The following is a 25,067-nucleotide window of genomic DNA, read 5'->3' on the forward strand; positions in this document are numbered from 1 at the left end:
CATGAGCCACGGTACCTGGCTGTTCAAATAATTTTAAAAATGCTAACAATAAATCAACAAAAAGGAAATCCAAATAGTGACATAGTATTAAAAAAAAAAACACCAAAAAACGGAGGCCAGGCGTGGTGGCTCACGCCTGTAATCCCAGCACTTTGGGAGGCCGAGGCAGGCAGATCACAAGGTCAGGAGTTCAAGACCAGCCTGACCAACATGGTGAAACCCCATCTCTACCAAAAATACAAAAATTAGCTGGGCATGCTGGTGAGCAACTGTAATCCCAGCTACTCAGGAAACTGAGGCAGGAGAATCACTTGAGCCTGGGAGGTGGAGGTTGCAGTGAGCCAAGATCATGCCACTGCACTCCAGCCTGGGTGACAGAGCGACTCTGTCTCAAAAAACAAAAAAACAAAAAAAAACAAAAAAAACCCACAAACCAAATGGAAATTCTATAGTTGAAAAGTACAATAACTCACATGACAAATTCATACAATGAGGTCAACAGCAAATTTGAGTTGACAGAAGAAATAATTACTGAATTTGAAGATAGACTAATAGAAATTATCCAATCCAAGGAGAGACCAAAAAAAATTGAAGGAAAAATACAGCCTGGAAGACCATGGAGTCAAGCATTTCAGCTTATGTAAAATAATAATCTCAGAAGAAGAGACAGAAAGGAGTAGAAAAAATATTTGAAGAAACAATGGCTGAAAACTTCTCAATTTAATGAAAAACCTTAATTTACATATACAAAAAGCTTGATGAAACTTGAGTAGAATAAACAAAAAAGAACCACACCTAGACATATCATAGTCAAATTTCTGAAAGCCAGAGACAAAGAGAAAAATCTCTCTCTCTCTCTCTCTTTTTTTTTTTCCTCAAGACAGAGTCTTGCTCTGTTGCCCAGGCTGGAATGCAGTGGTGCAGTCTTGGCTCACTGCAACCTCCACCTCCCAGGTTCAAGTGATTTTCCTGCCTCAGCCTCCTGAGTAGCTGGGACTACAGGTGCATGCCACCATGCTGGGCTAATTTTTGTATTTTTAGTAGAGACAGGGTTTTGGCATGTTGGCCAGACTGGTCTTAAACTCCTGGCCTCAGGTGATCCACCTGCCTCAGCCTCCCAAAGTGCTGGGATTACAGGTGTGAGCCACCGCACCCAGCCAAAGAGAAAAATCTCTTAAAAGCAGCAAGAGAAAAATGACTCATCACATTTAGGGAAATGATACAGTTAACAGCCAACTTCTCATTAGAAGCAATGGAGGCCCGAAAGACATAGTCAAAGTGCTGGAAAAACAAAACAAAACAAAACAGTCTTTCAACCAAGAATTATATATCCAACAAAACCATTTTTTTAAAAAAGGAAGTTAAAATAAAGACATTACCAGATAAGCAAAAACTGAGAGAATATGTTGCTAGCAGACAAATATACTGCTAACCGATCAATCACAGATTGTGAAACTATATCAAAAAGCAAGATGGCTGGGCACTGTTCTAAACCATAGCATCAGTAAGATTTTAAGAACCTTCTTTTCAGTCTGGGAAAGGTGGCTCGCGCCTGTAATCCCAGCACTTTGGGAGGCCAAGGCGGGTGGATCACCTGAGGTCAGGAGTGCGAGACCAGCCTGGCCAACATGGTGAAACCCTGTCTTTACTAAAAATACAAAATTAGCCGGGTGTGGTGGCACATTCCTATATCCCAGCTACTTGGGAGGCTAAGGCGGGAGAATCACTTGAACTTGGGAGGCGGAGGTTACAGTGAGCTGAGATCACGCCACTGCACTCCAGCCTGGGCAACAAGAGCGAAACTCTGTCTTAAAAAAAAAAGCAAGATTCAATTATATACTGTCCACCAAAAGACATACTTTAGAGTTGTAGGCATAAATAGGTTAAAATTAAAAGACAGAAAATAATATACTATGCACACAGTAATCATAAGAGACCTGCAGTGGCTATTTTAATATCAGACAAAACAGGCTTTAGGTCATATTAGAGACAAATAAGGACATTTCATTGTTAGAGACAAATAGAGACATTTCATAATGAAAAAGGATCAACATATAAAAATAACAATTATAAATATATATGTACCTAACAAGCCCCAAAATACATGAAGCAAAAAACCTGACATAATTCAAAAGAAAAACAGACAATCCACTTCACCCTCAGTATCTGGTGGCCAGGAGACGTGCCTCAAAGACCTTCACTTACAAGGAACAACATAACTGACCAAGACCCCAACTTGTGTACTCTGAGATCAACTGCTTCATTTGCTTCCTGGCCATGCTTCCCCTAGGCTACTATCAGCCAATGACTGCATGTAGCTGGAATGCTAAGGCAGCCTCATTCCCGGGAGATATGGGGCTCTTCAGATTATCAAGAACTTTGACTCGAGGACAACAGCTTTGCTGAAACTTTCTTATTCTGCATAGTAGTCTAGGGTGCTTCTACCCAACCTTGCTTCTCTCTCTCCTTCATTCAGATTTAGGCTTGTATTGTAGTCTGATGACTTCTCCAGTTCCTTCTCCAATTTTTCTCATGGTCATCTCCCCTAATAAAATCTTTGTATACTTAATGCCGTCTTGGTGTCTGCTTCTTAAAAGGTCCAGACTAACACAAATGGTTCCAGGAGTGATCTAAGAAAATAGGCAGTAAGATGGGGACGTGGCTCACTTAGGACTAGCTCACCTACTGCCCAGCAAATGAAAAGGATGCTGTTGTGGTTGTGAAGTGGGGCATGGCACAAGGTGGAGGCTCGGAGGCTGAAGATGTCACTAGTGGTAATGTGGGAAAATGCATCCCTAGAGGGGAATGCTGATGGAAGAGAATGCTGTAGCAGGTGCAATATCTCAAGCCTTTCAAAAATATGGAGAAACAATGCTTTCAAGGACAGTAGAGCTGGAGTTGGCTGGTTGCTGCTAAGTCATAGTGATACAACTACATAAGGATAATGAGAGACTGAGGACACTTAATAATCAGCCAACATAGTGGCTCACCCCTGTAATCCCAGCACTTTGGGAGGCTGAAGCAGGCAGATCACTTGAGATCAGGAGTTTGAGACCAGCCTGGCCAACATGGTGAAACCCTGTCTCTACTGAAAGCACACACACAAAAAATTAGCCAGGCATCATGGCACGTGCCTATAATCCCAGCTACTCAGAAGGCTGAGGCAGGAGAATGTCTTGAACCCAGGATGTGGAGAATGCAGTAAGCTGAGATCATGCTATTGCACTCCAGCCTGGGAGACACAGGGAGACTCCATCTCAAACAAACAAACAAACAAACAACCAATCAGTTAATGGTTAAGTGTGAGATTCAGAACCCGTGTGGTAGCTTACAAAGAGGCCCTTATCTCTTCTAGTAGAAGAACAGGCACATTTGAGCAGCAGGCTGAAGACTTAATATGTAGAGTCTTAGAGCTCCATAGTTTTTGCATTGCTCAGTCAAAGCAGTAGTGAAGATCAGGGCTCGGTGATAAAAACCTGAGATCCTAAGATGTGGCTGAGAAGGCTTTGAAGAGTCTGGCCTCTGCAACCACTGTGCCCCTGGACCCTCTGGGTTTACAGAGGTACCTTATCTTTCTTAATAAGAGCTAGCGCTTTGGCTGTGCTGGAAATAGGTGCCCTCCTCTGATGCTGCCCTTACCCCCACCTCCTCTCCTGGCTACTAGGCTGATAACTGGGGCTGTGCTGGGCCTGATAAAGGAGAAAAGAGACTATGTACTTAAAAAAATGGCAAGGGCTGGGTGTGGTGGCTCAAGCCTGTAATCCTAGCACTTTAGGAGATCGAGGCGGGCGGATAACAAGGTCAGGAGATCGAGACGATCCTGGCTAACACAGTGAAACCCCGTCTGTACTAAAAATACAAAAAATTAGCCAGGCGGCCGGGCGCGGTGGCTCACGCCTGTAATCCCAGCACTTTGGGAGGCCGAGGCGGGTGGATCATGAGGTCAGGAGATCGAGACCATCCTGGCTAACAAGGTGAAACCCCGTCTCTACTAAAAATACAAAAAATTAGCTGGGCGCGGTGGCGGGCGCCTGTAGTCCCAGCTACTCGGGAGGCTGAGGCAGGAGAATGGCGTGAACCCGGGAAGCGGAGCTTGCAGTGAGCCGAGATTGCGCCACTGCAGTTCGCAGTCCGGCCTGGGCGACAGAGCGAGACTCCGTCTCAAAAAAAAAAAAAAAAAAAAAATTAGCCAGGCGTGGTGGCATGCGCCTGTAGTCCCAGCTACTCGGGAGGCTGAGGCAGGAGAATAGCTTGAACCCAGGAGGTGGAGGTTGCAGTGAGCCAAGATTGCACCACTGCACTCCAGCCTGGGAGACAGAGGGTGACTCCATCTAAAAAAAAAAAAAAAAAAAAAAAAGGCAAGACTTAGCAGGAGTCAGGGGATTATTTCTGGGATTAGCATTTGAGGATGTTTAATCAAGGATGTCAGAATGGAAGACTGGATAAGCAAGAATTCACTGATGTGGGGGTACTTTCTCAGGACAAAAGATTTAATATTCTACTAGGAACTCCAGGAGATGGGACAAAGTTGCTGCAAGGATTTAAGAAGCCTGGAAAAAATAATGGCCAAATCTCAGAGAAGTGGAAATACCTGCCTTGCCCTGACAAACTGCAGAGGAAGGTGGGCATGCCGAAACTGATATGTAAGGCAAGAAGACCAGCTAGATAATTATGTTCCATTGGAAGGCCTAGAGGACACACTGCTAAAGCCATCAGGAATGAGCTGAAAGAGAGGTACCACTGATCCTAAGAAATTTGGTGGTGGCTCTCCTCTGCAGGCCAGGGCTAATCTAAGAGAAGAGGTCACAGTGTTGGGTTTATTAACACCCATTGAAATGATGGTGCCCCAAAGTAGTAGAAGTATGTGTCTTAAGGAATGGAATGGCAAAATAAGACTTTTTGTTGTTGTTGATTATGATAATTTCATTAAGTCAGGTAATTTGTTACACATTCCAAAAGTTGAATTAAAAATGAAATCTGGAGAGAAAAATAGGAATAATCTCTACAGGAGGTGTTTAACTTTTGACTAGAGCTGATTAACTTTTTATTATTTATTTAAAAATAAGGGGTTCTTTCATCCTATTGTATTCTTATTATAATTTAATGTCATATTGAATTTATATTTTCTTGTATTCGACTTTATAAACTTCCAGCCTGGGACTAGGAAAAATGCTGCTGAATGATGTCCTAGAGCTTTTATTTAGAAGTTAATCAAGATGATTATGTTCTCTTGGCTAACATTGGTTAATAGCTTAACATTTAAAATGCTATATCCCTTTAAAAATTTTTTATCCCTTTAACCTCTTTTCTATCTTAAGATACAAAATATATATGTGTATATTTACAGATATAGATACACACCTATATACACATTTACATGTATACAAAATATGTATGTATGCGTGTGTGTGTATATATATAGCACATTTGGGAGGATACACACACACACACACACACACACATATACACACACAGTACATAGGCCAGGCATGGTGGCTCACACCTGTGATCCCAGAGCTTTGGGAGGATCACTTGAGGCCAGGAGTTCAAAACCAGCCTGGGCAACATAGTGAAACCCTGTCTGTACAAAAAAAAAAAAAAAATTACCAAGCATGGTGGTGCATGCCTGTAGTCCTAGCTACTCAGGAGTCTGAGGCAGGAGGATTGCTTGGGGCCAGGAGTTTGAGGTTACCGTGAGCTATGATCACACCACTACACTTCAGTCTGGGTGACAGAGCGGCCAAAATGAAGTTCAATCCCTTTGTGACTTCCAACCAAATCAAAAATAGCAAAAGGCATTTCAATGCACCTTCCCACATTCACAGGAAGATTATGTCTTCCCCTGTTTCCAAAGAGCTGAGACAGAAGTACAATGTGCAATCCATGCCCATCCGAAAGGATGATGAAGTTCAGGTTGTACGAGGGCACTATAAAGGTCAGCAAATTGGTAAAGTAGTCCAGGTTTACAGGAAGAAATATGTCATCTACATTGAATGGGTGCAGCGGGAAAAGACTAATGGCACAACTGTCCACACAGGCATTCACCCCAGAAAGGTGGCTATCACTAGGCTAAAACTGGACAAAGACAGCAAAAAGATCCTTGAATGGAAAGCCAAATCTCGCCAAGTAGGAAAGGAAAAGGGCAAATACTAGGAAGAAACAATTGAGAAGATGCAAAAATAAAGTAATCTTATGTACAAGCTTTGATTAAAACTTGAAACAAACAACAAAAAAGAAAAGATACAGGCTGGGTACAGTGGCTAACATCTGTAATCTCTGCACTCTGGGAGGCTGAGGTGGACAGATTGCTAGAGTCTAGGGGTTCGAAGTCAGCTGGGCAACATGGCAAAACGCTGTCTCTATAAAAAATACAAAAATCAGCCCCGTGTGACGGCACTCAAATGTAGTCCCAGCCACTTGCGACACTGAGACGGGAGGATCGCTTGAGCCCAGGAGGCAGAGGTTGCAGTGAGCTGACATTGCACTACTGCACTACTGCACCCCTGCCTGAGTGACATAGCAAGACCCTGTCTCAAAAATAAAAGTATATATATATAAAATATATATATAATACATATAAAATATATATAATATATATGCTATATATTATATATAGTATATATAGTGTATATATCTCTACATTATATACATATCTACATTATATATAATATACATAGTATATATAGTATACTATATAGTATACATATAGTATATATAGTATATATAGTATACTATATATACTAAATATACTATATATATACTATAGTATAGTATATATATAGTATACTATATATACTATACTATAGTATATACTATACATACTATACATACTATACATACTATATATACTATACATACTATACATACTATACATACTATATACTATATATACTATAGTATATATAGTATGTATACATATATAGTCTGAGGCAGGAGGATTGCTTGGGGCCAGGAGTTTGAGGTTACCGTAAGCTATGATCACACCACTACACTTCAGTCTGGGTGACAGAGCAGCCAAAAAAAGTATATATTATATATACTATATATATATATATACACTCTATATATAGTATGTATATTATATATATACTATATATAGTATGTATATTATATATAATGTGTATATATATAATGTAGATATATACATAGATGTAGATACAGATACACACATAATTTTTAAATCTTATTTTTCTAGTTCTGATGACCTAACCAGCTGAAGATCTTGCAAACTCTCTCAGGAGAGGTACCCAAGGATCAAACCAGTCTCCTCCACCACCCTGAAAGGAGAACTTGCTTAACTGACTTTCTCTCTTCAGTTCAAGGCCTTTCCAGTTACACCAGGGTTTCTTAATCAAGGATCTTTGGAGTTCTTCATGAATGGGTTTCTTGAGCTGTCTGAACCCTTTTGAGTTATCCTCAACATTCTATTTGTGTGTGTGCATACACAGTGTTTTCCTGGGGAGTCTGTTGCTTTTGTTTGTTTCTCAGCGTCTCTGACTAAAAATATTTCTGAAACACTAGCATTCATCACTTGAAGCCTTAGGCCTCCTTGCCTAAGAACAGCTATAATTTCATTCTGAAGGAAAACCAAACTAATCTTCTCTCCTAATGACCTGGGGAGAGTTCACTTCAAGACACCAAAGTAACTTTTAGTAACATACCATGAATACTGAGCAAAAACTAATCTATCTAACCTCATTTGGCTTCCAACATCACTTGGCACCTCAGCCCATCATCTTGAGGAAAGTCAAACCTGCCATCCTTGGCCACCAGTTCAAATACAAGCCACTAGACTAAATGTAACTACTTCTCTGACATTGATGCCATCAGCAGTACCATCCTCTGCTTCTCCTCTTGACAATCACCAGAGCTCTGAGACGAGGGTGAGGCAAAGTGGGTGCCTAGGGTATGAAGGAGCTGCTCCTTTCCCACCCTGCACTTGCGTTTGCTCAACCCAAGAGTCAGTGCCTCCTCACTTTTTGCACTCAAGGCACATCCCTTGTCTCACCCTAATCCCAGCTCTATATCACCAACTATAATGCATCCATTATGACCTGATGGAAAGAGCGTCAGCCACAGGAGGAGGGAAGGGGTAGTAGTAGATTATCTGCAGAGACAGTAACCTAAGAACTAATTAGGGAAAATGAAAGAAGTCATTGCATAAAAGTGGGATAGCAACGATTAAGACTGGTGACAGGAAAAGAAGTAAAGGATCAGATATGGGTCTAGGTAAACAGGATGAAGCCAAACAGCTTAGAACATGGTGAATAAAACACGGATTCTGGGGCCTGCTCTTAACAGGTGCTGGTAGCTGGCTGGGCAAGACAATAGAACTCTTGACTTTATCTCAGCCTATTTTCAAAGAATCACATTAGAAAGTGTCCTGGTATGGGGAAGGGAGAGAAAAATCAGAAAATCTCTATAACATACAGAAATCTGTATATTAATTTTTTCAATTCTGTGAAGGCTTCTTCTTACGAGATTTCTGAAGTTGGGCCAACTAAAATTTAAGGACCCTTGAATGACTATTATCTTTGCTGAGAGAGGGTGTATGTCAAATTCAACAAAATTAATAACCTACATTTGTGTAATGTCTTACAGGTTATGACGTTCTCTGATGCCGTCTTTTTAAATCTCAGTCATTTCTCTTTGCTTTTGCCCATTTCTGTTCCCATTTCCTAAAACTCTTTCTTCTAGCCTTCTGGTTGACACCAATTTTTTTAAAACAGCTGTATTAAGATATAATTCACATACCATGAAATTCACCAATTTAAATTGTACAATTCAATGGCTTTTAGTATATTCAAAGTTGTGCAACCATCACGACAATTTTAAAACATTTCCTTCACCCCGAAAGAAATCCTGGACCCATTAGCAGTCTCTCTCCATTTCCCACACTAACCTCCCTAGCCATAGGCAACCACAAATCTACATCGGACGGGGCCCATTCTGGACATTAATTTTTAATTTTTATTTGAAAGTGCCCCTGTAATCCCAGCACTCTTGGAGGCCAAGGCGGGAAGATCACTTGAGCCCAGGAGTTAGGGACCAGCCTGGGCAACATGGCAAAACCCCGTCTCTACAAAAAATACAAAAATTAGCCGGGCGTGGTGGTGTGCACCTGTAGTCCCAGCTCCTTGGGAGGCTGAGGTGGGAGGATCACTTGGGCCTGGGGAGGTCAAGGTTGCAAGTGAGCTATGATCATGCCACTGCATTCCAGTCTGGGTAACAGAGTGAGACCCTATTTCAAAATGAAAAAAAAAAAATACAGAAAGAAAGAAAGTGCCCTTGGGGATTAGGAATTCTTACTTTTGGAACTCCTGACCCCTAAATGGTGGATATCTGTGATAAATCAGAGAGCTGTGACAGAAATGGGGGGGGAAGGGGAAACAGTATTTATTTAACAACTACTGTGTACTAATGTGTATCATTACTTTCATAACCATCCTGTGAGTGAGTTATCATTTAGCAGTTGAATAAACTGAGGTTTATAGAAATTATGTAAGCTGGCTTGGTGTGATGGCTCTTGCCTATAATCCCAGCACTTTGGGAAGCTGAGGTGGGCAGACAGCTTGAGCTCAGGAGTTTGAGACCAGCCCGGGCAACATGGTGAAACCCCACCTCTACCAAAAGTACAAAAATTAGCCGGGCGTGGTGGCTGGCGCCTGTAGTCCCAGCTACTTTGGGAGCTGAGGCAGGAGGACTGCTTGAGCCCAGGAGGCAGAGGTTGCAGTGAGCCAAAATAGCACCATTGCACTATAGCCTGGGCAACAGAGTAAGACACTGTCTCAAAAAAAAAAAAAAAAAAGAAAAAAAAAAGAAAAGAAAAATTATGTAACCTGTCAAAGGTTATAAAGTTAGTAACAAAGTAAGATTATAAATCTTTGTTTTCTGACTAGAGCTTATTCATCTTCTTTGCACGAGAACAGTGGTTCTCGAACTTTGGTGGGCATGAGAATCACCTGGAAGCCTTATAAAACACAGACTGTGGAGCTCCACACACAGAGTTTCTGATTTACTAGTTCTGGGGTGGTGCTTAAGCATTTGCATTCCCAGATGCTGCTGCTGCCAGTCTGAGACTGCACTATGTTGTGCTGCCTAACAGTACCTGAGAATGTAATTGATTAAGGTCACAGAGCTGGATGTGACTGATTAAGGTCAGAGAGCTTTAACGTCATCCAGCCATCTTTTCAGAACAGTACTTATGATCTGACAAAGCAACTGCTGATTGATAAAAGGTGGAAAGTAATTAGAAAGGTAATACAGAGAACGATAATACTTTGGATACATGATGAAGTGTGATAACATCTATTTTTCTGGCTGGGGAATGAGATAAACAAATAGAGAACTGATCATGGTGCATGAAGCACCTAGAGAAAGAACATTTCAGTTGGGTGCAAAATGTAACGTTCCTTGTCTAGTTCAGAACTATGGCTACTCAAGGGGAGAAGGCAGGCAGACAAAGGACTGTCAACAGCAATGTCTCTTATTGTTCTTTGGCTACAGCTGCACTTGCATACTCATGCTGACTTCGTGCCCAAATGTTAACTAGGCCAGAACTTGATCAGACTGAAATCTGTAAAAGAAAAAAAAATCATCACAGATACCAAGAAAATGTATTTCCTTGAATCTGTTCTAACTCTGAATTTTGTTAAAAAATTAGATTTTTTTTTTTTTTTAGTGGGAGGAAAAGGAGGACAGCTCAAAACCACTTAATTCAGAATCTGCAGTGTAATTGTTATGGTAGGCTCAAATGTGATTTGAACATCCCTAGCTATGGGATTTGGTGACCAAGCTCCCAAGAGAGGATGACACAGCACAGGGAATAGCACAGGCAGCTTGCCTTGCTTTGTAGGGGGCAGAGATGTGAAAGTCCTTGTTGAGGTCAGTGGAGCTGAGAGTACTCTTCATAATTTAAATGGACACGGGTAATTTCCTTACATGTAGGCAAGCCAGCCCTAGGGATAGGAAGGAGAAAGAAAAACAGGGAGTACAGAATGCAGATGGCTGCCCTCTGCTAATTAGGCCTTACCTTTATATAGAATGCTTTTGATTTTTTCAGACACTTTCAGGTATATTAACTCATGCACAGAGGTCAAATATTATTATTATTAAACAAAGTGCAGAGAAGTATTGAGAATTAGCTCAGTTAATGAATTAGCTCAACTAGGTAATAGATGCATTAAGATTAGATGGGGACAGTCACTCTGGAATGCCAGGAAAACAAAACATTCAGAAATAAGTATAGTAACCACATTAATACAATCAAGGGAACAAGCCTTTCCTTCCAAAGTGACGGAAATTAAGTTTACTTGTTGGTGTCCTTACTTCCATATTCATTCATTTGTTCATTCATTTATCATGTATTAAATGCTTCCTACTTGCTTATCATTCTGCTCAGTGGGCCTGGGGGATGTAGAAATGAGACATTATCTCTTTTCATTTGTTGAGGCCCTACAAGGTGCCAGAACCGTTCCAGGCGTTGGGGATATAGTAATTAAAAACAAAACAAAACAAACCAAACAAGAAATGTATAAGCCAGTGTGGAGTAAGTCAATTAAAATTAACAAAGCAAAAGGAAGTAAGTCCTATAATAAAAATGCCTTGATGGATAGAGGGATGGGTAGATGACCAGTTATGTTTTAAAGCAAGTATATATATAGTACGATGTTAGTGATAGAGTCTAGGTGGTGGGTATACTGGTGTTTGCTGTAAAATCTTTCAACTGTGCTCGAAAATTTTTATGATAAAATATTATGGAATAAACACTATAGGAATGACAAGGAAGATGCAGATTTGAGAAAAGTTTATGAAAGACATGGCATTCTTTTTTTTTTTTTAAGAGACAAGTCGATAGAGGAGTGCAATGGCATGATCACAGCTGCAACCTCGAACTCCTGGGCTCAAGTGATCCTCCTGCCTCAGCCTCTGGTGTAGCTGGGACTACAGGTGTGCACTACCATGCCCAGTTAATTTTTGTACTTTTTGTGGAGATGGGGGTCTCATTATGTTGCCCAGGCTGGTCTCAAACTCCTAGCCTCAAGTGATCCTCACTCTTCTGCCTCCCAAAATGTTGGGATTACAGGCATGAGCCACCCCACTGGCCTTTGGCATTCCTTTATCCTCCTCCTCTTCTCCTTAACTACCTAATATCCCCATGCTAACCCTTAGCTGTAGGTTCAACTTCCAAATTCCAATGGGCTATAAAGAGTTCTACAAAAGTCCATGATGACTAATAAATCTATCTAGTAGAGAAAAGACCTTTTGGAGAAGAGGCTAACTCTAGGACCACCTAAAACTCACCCACTCCATAGCTATTTGGTAAGGCACCCCTTTAGGAAACTTCACCCAAATGCCTGCTTCTGGGTACCAGGTAGTGGCCACTCTCCCCATCTTTGTCTCCTGTCTGAGCTGCTACCGAGTTTGATGTTAGATGGTGACATAAAATACAGTAATTCCTAGATATATGCGGAGGGACTGGTCCCAGGACAGCCTACATGTAACCAAATCCACACATGAAGTCCCACAGTCAGTCCTGAGGAAACTGCACAAATATTGTGTTTTCCATCTGCCCTTGGTTTAAAAAAAAAGCTGCATAAAAGTGAACCTCACAGTTTGAACCAGTGTTGTTCAAGTGTCAACTTTAATTTAAAAGTGAAAAAAGTTTGTTTTCTCTGGTATCCTTTTTTTTGTTTTGTTTTGTTTTTGTTTTTGTTTTTTGACACAGGCTCTGGCTCTGCTGACCAGGCTGGAGTGCAGTGGGGAGATCATGGCTCACTGCAGCCTCGATTTCCCTGGCTTGAGAGAAAATTATTTTTTTCAAAATAATCTTCAATTTAAGGTAATTTACTAAGTTTCAAAAGATAATGCTATTGACGTAAATTCTGTTTTAGATTGTAGGCCCCATCAGCTCATTGATACTAGTCCCAAGTTCACAGGAGAAGAGACTGGAAGTTACTAGGCTAGTCCTGCCTCTCTCAGGTGTGTCCCAGCAAAACTTTTCTTTCCAGTTTCAGCGCTTTAGAAACCTTTTCTCTTCAAACACTAATACAGGGCCTAGACTGTACCAGCACTGTTCTGAGAACTTTACATACACTAATTCATTTAATTCTCACAAAAATCCTGGGATGTAATTGCCATTATTATTCCCATTTAACAGATAAGAACACTGAAGCACAGAGAGATTAAGTAACTTGCTCAGGGACCTGGATGTGAATGCAGAAATCTGGCTCCAGAGGTGGAGTCTGAAACTGCCTTTCTAAGTGACTGATTGCCAATCTCTGGAAAACCGTTCAATTGAAGATATTAATGGATCAAAATGTCAGTATGTTTTCAGATACCCTAACTCCATAGGAAGCTCAGTGTATGGGATGAGATACTGTGGTTTAGAAGGGAATTGCTTTTCCAACGGAGGGCACCCTTCAGATAAGCCCCTCAAATTGCCCTTCACTAGAGAGTCGCACGAGGACAGGCCTGCTAAAAAGGATGGCGCTGGGGGGTTTCCAAGACAGGAAATATCTAAAGCCAGCGGCTGACATATTATCTTGGCGAACGGGAGAAGGGAAAAAGAACCCTCATTTTTTGGAAACACAAGTTTTTAGCCTGGATAATGGGTAAATGACATTAACTCTTCGTTCCACACTAATCTTTCAAGCTTGTTCAAATTTTGCTTCTCAAACCTGGGCCATTCCTTCTTATCTAATCTGCCTATTATTTCCTTCAAGCTTTTTATCCCTTCTGAAAATAGGTGGTAGCATACCAAATTAAAATACAGAACAGCCTGTTTCTTTCCCCCAGGGTCCACTAGGGCGCGTCGGAGAAAGGGTTAACCGGGCGGGTGGGAGGGAAGGTCGGGCTCACACCTTTCGCAGAGACCTCGGGCGGCGGCGGGGCCCGGGAGGGGCGGAGGCTGGGGCCAGACGCCTCGCCGCCTCCGCCTCGGCGAATAGCAGCGCGCTGCCCGCCCGGATTGGAGCAGCAGCATCACGCTGACCTCTGCCTGGGATGTAAACCGGACCAGCCGCTGCGGGCAAAGGAAGGCTCTTGGCTCCTTCGGGAAACCCAGCCCCGTCACCGGGCTCCGAGCGGCTCGCAGGCGAGCGACAGCGGCCTCAGCCCCGGCAGCGCCCAGCGGCGGCTGCGGAAAGCGGAGGGAGTCCGACGCGGGCGCGGGCGGGGAGCGTGCGTCCGTTCGCACAGGCAGCGGGAGGAGGGGCGGCGCGAACCATGGCCGGGGACAGCGAGCAGACCCTGCAGAACCACCAGCAGCCCAACGGCGGCGAGCCCTTCCTTATAGGCGTCAGCGGGGGAACAGCTAGCGGCAAGGTACGGCGGGGCCCGGAGCCGCGCTCCCTTCCCGGCTTCTGTCCCTGGGCGGCGCATGTGGCCGGCGGCCGCGGGCCGTGTCAGTTGCGGCAGCCACCGCGTGGCCCGCGCGCCTCCGCTCCCGGCCGCGCTCCAGCGCCGAGTGCGCCCCGCGCGGCCTGGGGGCGCTGCGGCGGGGGCAGGCGAAGACTCGGGCCTTGGGGGTTCCGGGGGTACGCGGCCACGATCGCAGGGCGGGAGTGCTCCTCCGGCTTTTCTCCCCCCGCGTTAATAACTCGTGGCCGGGGTCCTATGGGGGAAGGGCAGGGAAGCGGATGCTTATTGTTTTGCAACTCCAGTGTCGGGGGAGAGGGCTTTCCGCAGGATCCCCCACTAACCCCCGATGGACTCCCTCAAGCCCCGGTCTGGCACAGACGTGCTCGCCCCGCGGCGCAGCCTGGTGCCGAGGGCGGAGCGAGCCGGGAAGCGCGGCCGAGAGGGCGAGGGTGGCGGGAACGCGCGAGGCGGCATCCCGGGGAAGGGGAGCCCAGTGTGGGGCTGCACGCAAGGGCTGGGGATTACAGGGGTTTCCGGGTAAAAGTCTGAGAGCCAAATAGGTGCCGTGACATCAATGAAACGATAATAGTAGGGGCTTCTGTTTTTTAAGGTTATAAGAGGAAACGTGGTCGGCTTCAATGAGAAAGTTGTACTGGCTCCAAGCTCTTCGGTGTCCAGGACGTACGCGTCTTGGATCCACGGAAGGGGGTCATCGTATGGGTGTCTGACCCTCTTAGGAGCCTGTTTCCTTTGTTTTATCCGCAAGGCAAGGAGAGACAAGGGAAATGACTTCCTAGCTTTACCCGGGGTTTTTTCTGCAGGTGGAGAAGGGTGGAGTCCTCCCAGATGGTTCTTTCTTTGCTCCCCTAACAGCCTTTAAGATGTGGCTACTTGTTTTTCCCACCGTTTAACACCCTCCAACTTCATTTGGAGCACGGGTTCCTCAAGGGATCCTGAGAGCTGGGTGCTGGGTGCTGGTTTGGAGAGGCAGGATGATGCTTCTCCCGGCTGGGGAGAGCAGAGCAGGAAGGCTGGTTGGCGCCATGAGGAAAGAGCCACGAGGTTTTAGCTCCCGAACCGACTCGTCAGTAGCCCCTCCTCCATGTTGGTTTTACATTTTTCCCTCCTGGTCTGGACTACTTTAGCGCAAGGAGCCCAGCCAGACACGGCGGCTGGCGCTGCTGGACTTCTTTATTGATGAAGTTGATCTCGTCCGTAGCTCCCGGGGTTAGGAATCGGCCTGCTTTAGGTCCTGAAGTTTCTGTTCTGTGTGCTCCCTGGTTGAAGGCTTTTAAAAAAATTTGTAATTTTTGAGTATGTTCTTTACTATGACTTATACTAGTAATTCAAAGCAAAACCAGAATGCTAGCCCTTCAGGAAGCTTTACCTGTTCTTTTAGAATTATTCTTGCTCTTCTGGCATATTCCTGTTGGATTGGGAGCATTTTTTGTTGTTGTTGTTCATGGCTGTTTTCCCAGCCCTCCTAGCACAATGCCTGCCTGGCATGTAGTGGGGTCCAAATTTTAAGCTGAAGTCCAGTCCTCCTAAAGTGGGGAGGAGGCTTAAACTTGCATATGAGCTTTTAGAAACAAAATGATCTTGGTAATCATCTGAATAATTTAGTTACCACGAGGGTGAAAACTGCGACCCTAAAAGGTGAATAACTCTGTTATTGTTCTTCTTGTGTGTTTCTCAGTCGTCACCTGTTCTAACTTGATAATCAAGCTTTTGGTGTTACTTGGGTAAAGTGAGGGATGGGATAGTGGTGAGCCAATGTGGGAGTAGCTAATTCTCTGCTATTTTTATCCAGGAGGAAGAGTGTAGAAACTCTCAAGAAAGGAAGGGTCCGTTTTTCTGCAGTTTTCAAAGCATGTTGTACATTTTTATTTATTAATTTAATTTTTGAGACAAGGTCTCGCATTTCCACCTAGCCCAGAGTAAGTGGCACTGTCACAGCTCACTGCAGCCTCAGCCTCAACCTGGAGTAACTGGGAGTACAGGCTGGCACTATCATGACTGGCTAATTTTTTTGTTTGTTTGATTTGTTTTGTTTTTGAGACAGGGTCTCACTCTTTTGCCCAGGCTGGAGTGCCGTGGTGAGATCTTGGCTTACTGTACCCTCCACCTGTTGGGCTCAAGTGATCCTCCCACTTCAGCCTCCAGAGTAGCTGAGACTACAGGCTTGCACCATCATGCCCGACTAATTTTTTTTTTTTTGTAGAGAAGGGGTTTTGCCATGTTGCCAGGCTGATCTCAAATGCCTAGACTTAAGTGATCCGCCCGCCTCTGCCTCCCAAAGTGCTGGGATTACAGGTGTGAGCCACTACCTGGGCTGGCTTTTTAATCTTTATTTTTTTTATTATTTTTTTTTTTTGAGACAGAGTCTTGCTCTGTTGCCCAGGCTGGAGTGCAGTGGCATGATCTCGGCTCACTGCAAGCTCCGCCTCCCGGGTTCATGCCATTCTTCTGCCTCAGCCTCCCAAGTAGCTGGGACTACAGGTGCCCGCCACCACGCCTGGCCAATGTTTTTGTATTTTCAGTAAACACGGAGTTTCACTGTGTTAGCCAGGATGGTCTCAATCTCCTGACCTTGTGATCCGCCCGCCTCGGCCTCCCAAAGTGCTGGGATTACAGGTGTGCGCCACCACGCCGGCAATCTTTATTTTTTGTAGAGACTAGGTCACCATGTTGCCCAAGCTTGTTTGTACATTTTTGACATACGAATGATTGATAGTTTGTCATCCTTTAAGATTATTGATATTTTTGTTATTAAAAAAGTCCAAGACTGGGCCTGGTGGCTCACACCTGTAATCCTAGCATTTTGGGAGGCAGAGACAGGAGGATTGCTTGAGCCCGGGAGTTTGAGGCCAGCCTGGGCAACATAGTGAGACCCCATCTGTATAAAATGAAAATTGTGGTGGGTCGAGAAAGTTATTTTGACCTATGTTTAAAACCAGATTCTCAGCTTGGGCAACATGGTGAGACTTGTTCTCTACAAATAATAAAATTATCCAGGTGCAGTGCTGCAGGTCTAGAGGCTGAGGTGGGAGGAATGCTTGAGTATGGGAGGTCGAGGCTGCAGTGAGCTGTGATTGTGCCACTACACTCCAGCCTGGGTGACAGAGCAAGACCTGTCTCGAACAAAAACCAAAAAAGGTTATGGCTGAGTACGGTGGCTCACACCTCTAGTCCCAGCACTTTGGGAGGCCAAGGAAGGAGGATGCCTTCAAAACCAGCCTGGGCAACAGAGAGAGACCCCGTCTCTACGAAAAATTAAAAATTAGCCATGTATGTGCCACCAGCTTCTCAGGAGGCTGAGGCAGGAGGATGGCTTGAGCCTAGGACTTGGAGGCTGCAGTGAGCTTTGATGGTGCCACTGTACTCCAGACTGGGCAACGTAGCAAGACCCCATCTCAAAAGCAAACCAAACCAGATTTTCATATTTCCCCCTAAAGGACAGGTGTAATAACACTAAAAGGTGGAAAAAAACCCAGGCTAAACTTCTTTGCCTGCATACATATCTGTGACTTTTAGGTGTCATTCTGTTTCCTTTTCATCTTTGCCTGTTCCTTGTTCTGTAACCTCTTCATTGGACAACTAAAATAGCCTCTGAAACGAGAAAAATCTGCTCCATTACACTGCCATCAGAGTGGTCTTCCTTAGGAATAGCTCTGGATGTGCCATTTTCCTTTTTGGAAACCTTGGGTAACTCCCCACTGCTCAGTACAGGTCAAACACTTCAGTACAGTACAAATCCCCTTGGCCCCTAATATGGTCCCAGGCTATTATTTTTATTTTTTATTTTATTTTTTATTGAGATGGAATCTCACTCTGTCACTCAGGCTGGAATGCAGTGGTGCCATCTTGGTTTACTGCAACCTCCACCTCCTGGGTTCAAGCAATTCTCCTGCCTCAGCCTCCTGAGTAGCTGGGATTATAGGCATGTGCCACCAGGCCTGGCTAGTTTTTTTGTATTTTTAATAGAGGTGGGGGTTTCACCATGTTGGCCGGGCTGGTCTCGAACTCCTGACCTCAGGTGATCTGCCTGCCTTGGCCTCCCGAAGCGTTGGGATTACATGCATGAGCCACCGTGCCCGGCCTTATTTTTCTACACAGCCAAATGCACACAGACCATCTTACTGAACTGTCTTCACTTACATTTTTGCTCAGTGGTCTTCTTTTTGTAATGGCCTTTAGTCTTTTTAAGGCTCAGCTCTGTTAATACTTTCTTGAGGGAGCTTTGTTACCCATTTCCTTAATGAGAATTATTTTTTCTGTCTTCTGCTTCCATAGACTTACCATATCTTTCTTGTCTTATGCTTATTTGTTGACTGCTTCTTCCCGTAGAGTATGTGTTCTGTGAGAGAATACTTTTTCTTACTTAACCTGTTTAAGTGCTTGGGATTGAGGGGAAATAAGGATTTAAGAAACCATGAAAGAAGGTCTCTGTCCTTAGCAGTTTACTGTTTATAAATTTCTTCCACTGTGTTTATTACCAAGTCACTTTATCATTAAAGCATTTGATTATCTATTCCCTTTGAAGTCAGGCATGTGTCTTCCCTACTGGTAGATGACAATGGAAGATGAGGTTAGGGGAACTTTTGACTTAGTGGTAGGACTGGGATTAGGATCTAGGGTTTTATTTTTTATTTATTTTTGGGACAGAGCCTTGCTCTGTCACCCAGGCTGGAGTGCAGGGGTGCGAACTCGGCTCACTACAACTCCTGCGATTCTCCTGCCTCAGCCTCCCAAGTAGCTGGGATTACAGGTGCCCACCACAATGTCCGGCTAATTTTTGTATTTTTAGTGGAGACGGGGTTTCACTGTGTTGGCCAGGCTGGTCTCATCTTCTGACCTCATGATCCGCCTCAGCCTCCCAAAGTGCTGAGATTACAGGCATGAGCCTCTGTGCCCGGCCGGTTTTTTTTCTTAAAATCTGTACCTGTTTTGAACTTTCTCCACAAGCAGTGGCCTCTTCGTGTAAATATTTTTAGGGAGGTTGGCCTGTGTGTGACCATTATAGGATAAGAGAGGAGATGCTGTCCCCTCTGAGGTGTGGACTGCCACCTCAGTGCAGCTTGGCCGTGAGTCAGCATCTGCTTTTGGAATGCTTCAGAATGTGCTCTGGACCCGTGTCGGCGCCCACTGCTCTGTTCTGGAACCTTGGTCGCCATCCCCATCCAGCCAGATCACGTATTCCACACCTTCCTGTCAGGTGTTCCCAGGACTGTGGGGCTGGTTTGGTCCTTTTGCTGCTTTTCTCAGAGATGGCATTGTGTGTTTTCCGTCACCTCAAACTGCTGCCATGATCTGGCCCTTCGGACCTTCTTCCCTTTCCCCCTTACTCTAGCTAGTCCAGCCAGACCCACTCTTGGCATGGCAGGCTTTCCCCCAGCCAAGGATGTCCGCATTTGCTGTCTGCTCTGCCTGAATCTCTCCTGCTTGTTCACTGAGCCATGCCTAGCACGATGTCTGGTAGAATGAAGAAGAAACCCTGGGTCCTGCTGCCTCCAGTAGTTCCTATCCTGCTGCCTTTCCTCAGGCTGTATTTCTTCTTTGTTCCTTGAGTGTCTTTGAAGTATGGTTTCTGATGCTCACTCTGTTTGTGGTCACCTACCAGTTCACTACATAGCATTTGCTTTCATGTCATTTCTTTGTCAAATCTTGCTTTTATGAGGTTCTGTGATGGAGACAGATTGTCTTTGGGAATTTCACTGCTGAAGACCTGACCTTTTTTGCTAGTGGGCTCTGTGATGGTGCTGTTGGAACTACTTAAGGTCTCTAAATCTTAGACTTGTATTTCAGTATTTTAAAATCAATAAAAAGGGGTTGAGAGTATACTTTTATATGTGAGTGTGTATGCATGTCTGTATGCTTTCGTGTCCATTAAACCATTTCAGTCATTAAGCTGATTTGTCATGAAAGCATTCGATCTTTTCATCATATATATAAAATATATAAGTATAACCCATATATAATTATGACATACAAAATAGGAATAAAAAATGAGAAAAAGGAAACATTTAGAAACATAATTTCTTTAATGGTATAAAATCTTTTGATACTAAAATATTTTTTATTTGTGACTGAAGATTGAAAGACGTTTTATTTTTAAAAATCTTGTTTAATACTTGGTGAGTCTTGGATGACCTTGGTGGTGTTAGTTTTGGTGGTCATTCAAGACTGAAGGTTTTGTTCTAAGTTTAGTCTTCTGAATTTTTATTTAATGATTATCATATTTGAAAAAGTTACCTCTAAAAAGATCCAAGTAGAGGAAAGTCATCATTTTGTAGTACTTACTAAATCATGATATTCCCATCCTCCAGTTATGCTATGGCTTTTCCTTAAAACGAGCTAGAAAATTTTCATCCTGTAGTCCCAGCTACTTGGGAGACTCAAGTGGGAGGATTGCCTGAGCCTTGGGAGGTTGAGGCTGGAGTGAGCCTTAGTCCCACCATTGCAATCCAACCTGGGCAACAGAGCAAGACCCTATATCAGAAAAAACAAAAAAAGTGCAATTAGTAGACAATTTAATAGAATAACCTGAAAAATATAAAGAACCATATAAAGCCCTCCAGCATTAGGCTTTCAGGCCTCATAAGCCATAATTTGATTGGATGAGGGGGCAGTGGTTCTAAATGTATGCCTGAGAATTTTGAACAATGACAGAAGGTGACAACTCTGAAAAATTCAGTTTGCTTTGCCAACTCGCTATTGGCAATACTCTTTCCATAACATGGGTTTCTTTCTTTCTTTTTTTGTTTTTTTTAAAGCAGTTGTTTTTACTTGGTTTCTCCCTGTGAAACTACAGGAAAAGTGTCAGTATTTCTGTGAATGCCTACACTTAACCTTCAGTACCCTATGGGACAGGTGACCAGCAGGCAGTACTTTTTCTTCCTGTCCCATGTAGTGTTTGGTAAGAATTTTGCCTGGTACGTACATGGCAGAAACATAACAATTTTGTGTGGGTTGTAGAGTTGTGCTTCTTTATTTCTTTATTCAGCCCATAAGTATGCTATTTGGTCTGACATTTTTACCTTTTTTTTGGCTGACTAGCAGGGAGCAAGGGCTGTTTTGTCATCTCAGCTAGCATGCTCTGCTTTCCCTTGCCTGTCCTCTAGAAGTCCAAAGTTCTGTGTTTCTGGGATTGCTTTTCCCTGGGAGTGGAGATGAGCACTGTCTTTGCCCTTCGCAGGCTTCTAGTCTCCTAGGCTGTCTAGAGAAAGCTTGTGATAGAATGGGCTGATAACAGTGCTGATTTTGGACTATGGTCTAAAAGACATTTTTGTATTCATAACCGCTAAGAGAATTCTGGAGAATTCTTCATCCCATTTTGCACATATAATATATATATTTTTATATGTTGTAAAAATATGTATTTTTAAAATTAGTTATTATTATTATTATTATTATTTCAGAGACTGTGTCTCACTATGTTGCCCAGGCTGGCATGAACTCCTGGCCTCAAGCGGTCGTCCTGTCTTGGGCTCCCAAGGTGCTGGGACTACAGGCAAGAGCCACTGTACTGGGCCCCATCACATATTTTTGACATCAGTTTTTTTCATTATAAATAAAGAGTTGAAAAGGAAGTGATTTCTGATATATTGTAAATATACACTTAAAAACAACAATTGTTTCATTATTCTTTTAAATGTATCTGATGGGCTCTAAATCTATAATAATTTGACCTATTGTCATACATTTTAAAACATGTAGATGAACAAGCTCTTATTTGAGTCAGAAATGTTTATTTTTCTTTTTTCCTCAATCATATTTCAGTTCCACTTCCCCTGCAAAATATTAATTTAATTTCATTTATTTTTATGCTTGAAAATATTTTATTGGTCGTTCTATCACACGTGACAGAAGTATACATTAAAATTTTATTTCCTGTTCTCATGAATCTAAGTATTTATTTCTTTTCGATTGCATTACTACTGTACTTATTAGTATAAAATTCATCAAAACAAATGGATACTGCCGGGCGCGGTGGCTCATGCCTGTAATCCTAGCACTTTGAGAGGCCTAGGCAGGCAGATTACCTAAGGTCAGGAGTTCAAGACCAGCCTGGCCAACATGGGGAAACCCCGTCTCTACTAAAATACAAAAATTAGCTGGGCATGGTGGCTGGTGCCTGTAATCCCAGCTACTCCGGAGGCTGAGGCAGGAGAATCACTTGAACCCAGGAAGCAGAGGTTGCAGTGAGCTGAGATTGCACCACTACACTCCAGCCTGGGCGACAAGAGCAAGACTCCGTCTCAAAACAAAAAACAAAACAAAAAAAACAACCAAATGGATATGTTATACATTTTTTTGAAGAAAACATCTTGATGAGATAGAGCCTTCCACCCCCAATTATTTGATGATTCTGTGGATAATTACTATTTAATACTAGAATAAGATTTTTCATTTGTATAGATCTAAGCTTTAAGGAACCCTGTTGACATAAATAAGTAGATGGAAATGGACAGAATATTGTTATATGAAGGTCACTTAGACTCAGTTTTTACCTTTAAAATTATATGTCAAAATACAGTGGATTTTTTGAATCAACTAGCTTGCCATTCATCTCCTCTAATTTTGTAGAAAGCAGGAAAACTGGAAACCTCCAGACTTGTAAAAGGAATTGTTATTCAGTCATTAAGTCATTCATCTTCCAGTATCAGCTCGAGTATTTTAGATCACCTTTTTGCATGGATTCAGAGTGGAGGGGTGATGGGCCTTTATTTTGTAAAGTGGGAGAAGCCTGATTGTGAAAAAGTATGCTTGCTTTCATGTGGCTCAGGAAGTTTTCATGTACCCTAGTTTGAAGACAACTGATTTAGGTAGCTTGGTGTCTTAGTCTGTTTTGTACTGCTATAGCAGAATACCTGATAATGAACAGAAATTTATTTCTTACAGTTCTGGAGGCTAAGAAGTCCAAGATTGAGTGCCTGACACCTGGCCTTTTTGCTGTGTCATGGTCATCCCGTCCTGGAAGGCAGAAGGGCAGGAGGAGAGGAGGGGGAGGGAAGTGCCTGTCCTCGTGCACAAAAGTTTCAAACAAGAGGTTCCTTTTATAAGGAACCCACCCCTGTCATAACGAATCTGCTCCCACGATAATGGCATTAATCCAGTTCATGATGGTGGTGCCTCCAAGATGCAAACACCTCCCATCAGGCCCCACTTCCCAACACTGCCACATTGGGCATCAAGTTTTCAACACGTGAACTTTGGAGGACACTTTCAAACCACAGCCCTTGTGTTCCAGCCCACTGTTGCCACTTACTTATTAAGTATCTGTATATTCATCTACAGAAGAGGGTCCTTACAAGCCCTTACATTTTGACAGTTCTGTAACTAGCCTTGAGTATCCTGTAATTGTTACCACTGGTCACACAAAGTACTTCTTGAATCTGAACCTGTGTAAGTGGTAGTCATTTGTAAGCTTTCTTTGGTGGGGTTCTGAAAGACTGACATCCCCTGCCGTTTGCTAACATTCATCTCAACTGGATACCAGTTAGATTTCCTGAAGGTCCTGGGACCCTTCAGTATGCTTACTGTCACTTTTAAGCCTTTGCAGGTGTTGCTCTTTTGCTCTTTTTGGGGCCTCCTCTTCTATGTTGCCAAAGCATCCTAAACAGACCTCAGTTACAGAATTTTTTTCCCTTGCCCTGTGTGGTCCTTGCTTGTTTAGTCTATCTTCTCTAGACTGAGCTCTCAGGATCAGGGACTTTGTTTTACCTCACTATTGCCTGAAGCTAACAAGTGTCCAAAAACGGGAAGGATGAGGAGGTTCTCAAATGTTTGTAGAATAACCAAATATTAAGTAATTTTTTTTCAAACTCTGTGTATCATAGGAATCTCAACATTTCCAATATTGAACTCCTCATCTCACCCCTTGAACGTGCTCAATCTTTAACCTCACCATCTCAGTTGATGACAGCTTCATCTTTCTAGTTGCTCAGGCCTAAAACCTCGGGGTTATCCTTGACTACTCTTTATTTCTTCTGTAGCCTCTCAGGCTGTCTAGAGAGAGCTTATGAAGAATGGGCTGGTAAGAGTGTTGACGTTGGACTGTAGTCTTCAAACATGTTTGCATTCATAATCGCTAAGTGACTTGGATCCATTCCCTTAGGAAATCCTGTTGGCCCTGCCTTCACAACATATCTGCAGCCTGAGCACTTTTCCACTCCTTTGCTTCTACCCTGGTCCAGGTCATCATCATCTGTCAGTTGCATCATTGCAGTTGTCTCCTGACCCATCTCCCTCTTCTTTCTTTGTGTACACATTCTATTCTCATAACAGCCAGAGTGATCCCGTGAAAATGAAAGTTGGATAATTCCCTGCTCTGATACAACCCTGCAGTGGCTTCCCATTTTACTCCTAGTAAATTAAGTCTACAACAAGATCGGGAGGGCCCTAGAAATGCATCCTTTGCACTGGCTGTTCATTCTGCCAGGGCATCTCTTGATATCAGTATCGTTAACCACCTTCCCTCCTTCAAGTGTTGCTCACGTGTCTCCTTCTCATGATCACTCTATTTAAAATTGTAAACATTAGACACTCAAATATCTGTTGAATGGTTGAAGAATGAGTTACTTTGCTCAGTTACTGCTTCTAATACTAGTTTTAACATTAAACCTGTTGCTGGGGGATGTGGATAGTTGTCCCTTTGCTGTTCACATTTGTATTTCCTCTTGGGGTACCATCACCTGGATAAGATT

General features: G+C 43.2%; 1 protein-coding gene and 1 pseudogene across 2 annotated transcripts in view, besides 5 other annotated features; both read left to right on the forward strand.

The window, feature by feature from the left end:
* On the forward strand, window positions 5,735-6,224 carry RPL26P12 (ribosomal protein L26 pseudogene 12; annotated as a pseudogene).
* Window positions 13,796-14,045: a silencer, noted in NCBI's record as "silent region_1502". NCBI's record gives its function as "represses an Ori minimal core promoter by ATAC-STARR-seq in GM12878 lymphoblastoid cells {active_cell/tissue: GM12878}" and the evidence as "EXISTENCE:reporter gene assay evidence [ECO:0000049][PMID:35858748]".
* UCK2 (uridine-cytidine kinase 2) overlaps window positions 14,007-25,067 on the forward strand; it is an 84,005-nt gene continuing 72,944 nt past the window's right edge. For both annotated transcript variants that reach the window (NM_001363568.2, NM_012474.5), the window contains exon 1: window positions 14,007-14,325. Coding sequence is in view for 1 of the 2 variants with exons in the window: in NM_012474.5 (NP_036606.2) it covers window positions 14,227-14,325 (99 nt within the window). In the remaining variant the exon portion in view is untranslated. The remainder of the gene's footprint in view (window positions 14,326-25,067) is intronic.
* Window positions 14,126-14,605: a silencer, noted in NCBI's record as "silent region_1503". NCBI's record gives its function as "represses an Ori minimal core promoter by ATAC-STARR-seq in GM12878 lymphoblastoid cells {active_cell/tissue: GM12878}" and the evidence as "EXISTENCE:reporter gene assay evidence [ECO:0000049][PMID:35858748]".
* Window positions 14,126-14,914: a biological region, named in NCBI's record as "H3K27ac hESC enhancer GRCh37_chr1:165797205-165797758".
* Window positions 14,361-14,914: an enhancer, noted in NCBI's record as "H3K27ac hESC enhancer chr1:165797205-165797758 (GRCh37/hg19 assembly coordinates)". NCBI's record gives its function as "activates a minimal SCP1, AML or CMV promoter by ChIP-STARR-seq in primed H9 embryonic stem cells {active_cell/tissue: H9 hESC(primed)}" and the evidence as "EXISTENCE:reporter gene assay evidence [ECO:0000049][PMID:30033119]".
* Window positions 14,666-14,895: a silencer, noted in NCBI's record as "silent region_1504". NCBI's record gives its function as "represses an Ori minimal core promoter by ATAC-STARR-seq in GM12878 lymphoblastoid cells {active_cell/tissue: GM12878}" and the evidence as "EXISTENCE:reporter gene assay evidence [ECO:0000049][PMID:35858748]".

This window comes from Homo sapiens, chromosome 1 (genome assembly GCF_000001405.40).
Source record: "Homo sapiens chromosome 1, GRCh38.p14 Primary Assembly".
NCBI classification, from domain to species: Eukaryota; Metazoa; Chordata; class Mammalia; order Primates; family Hominidae; genus Homo; species Homo sapiens.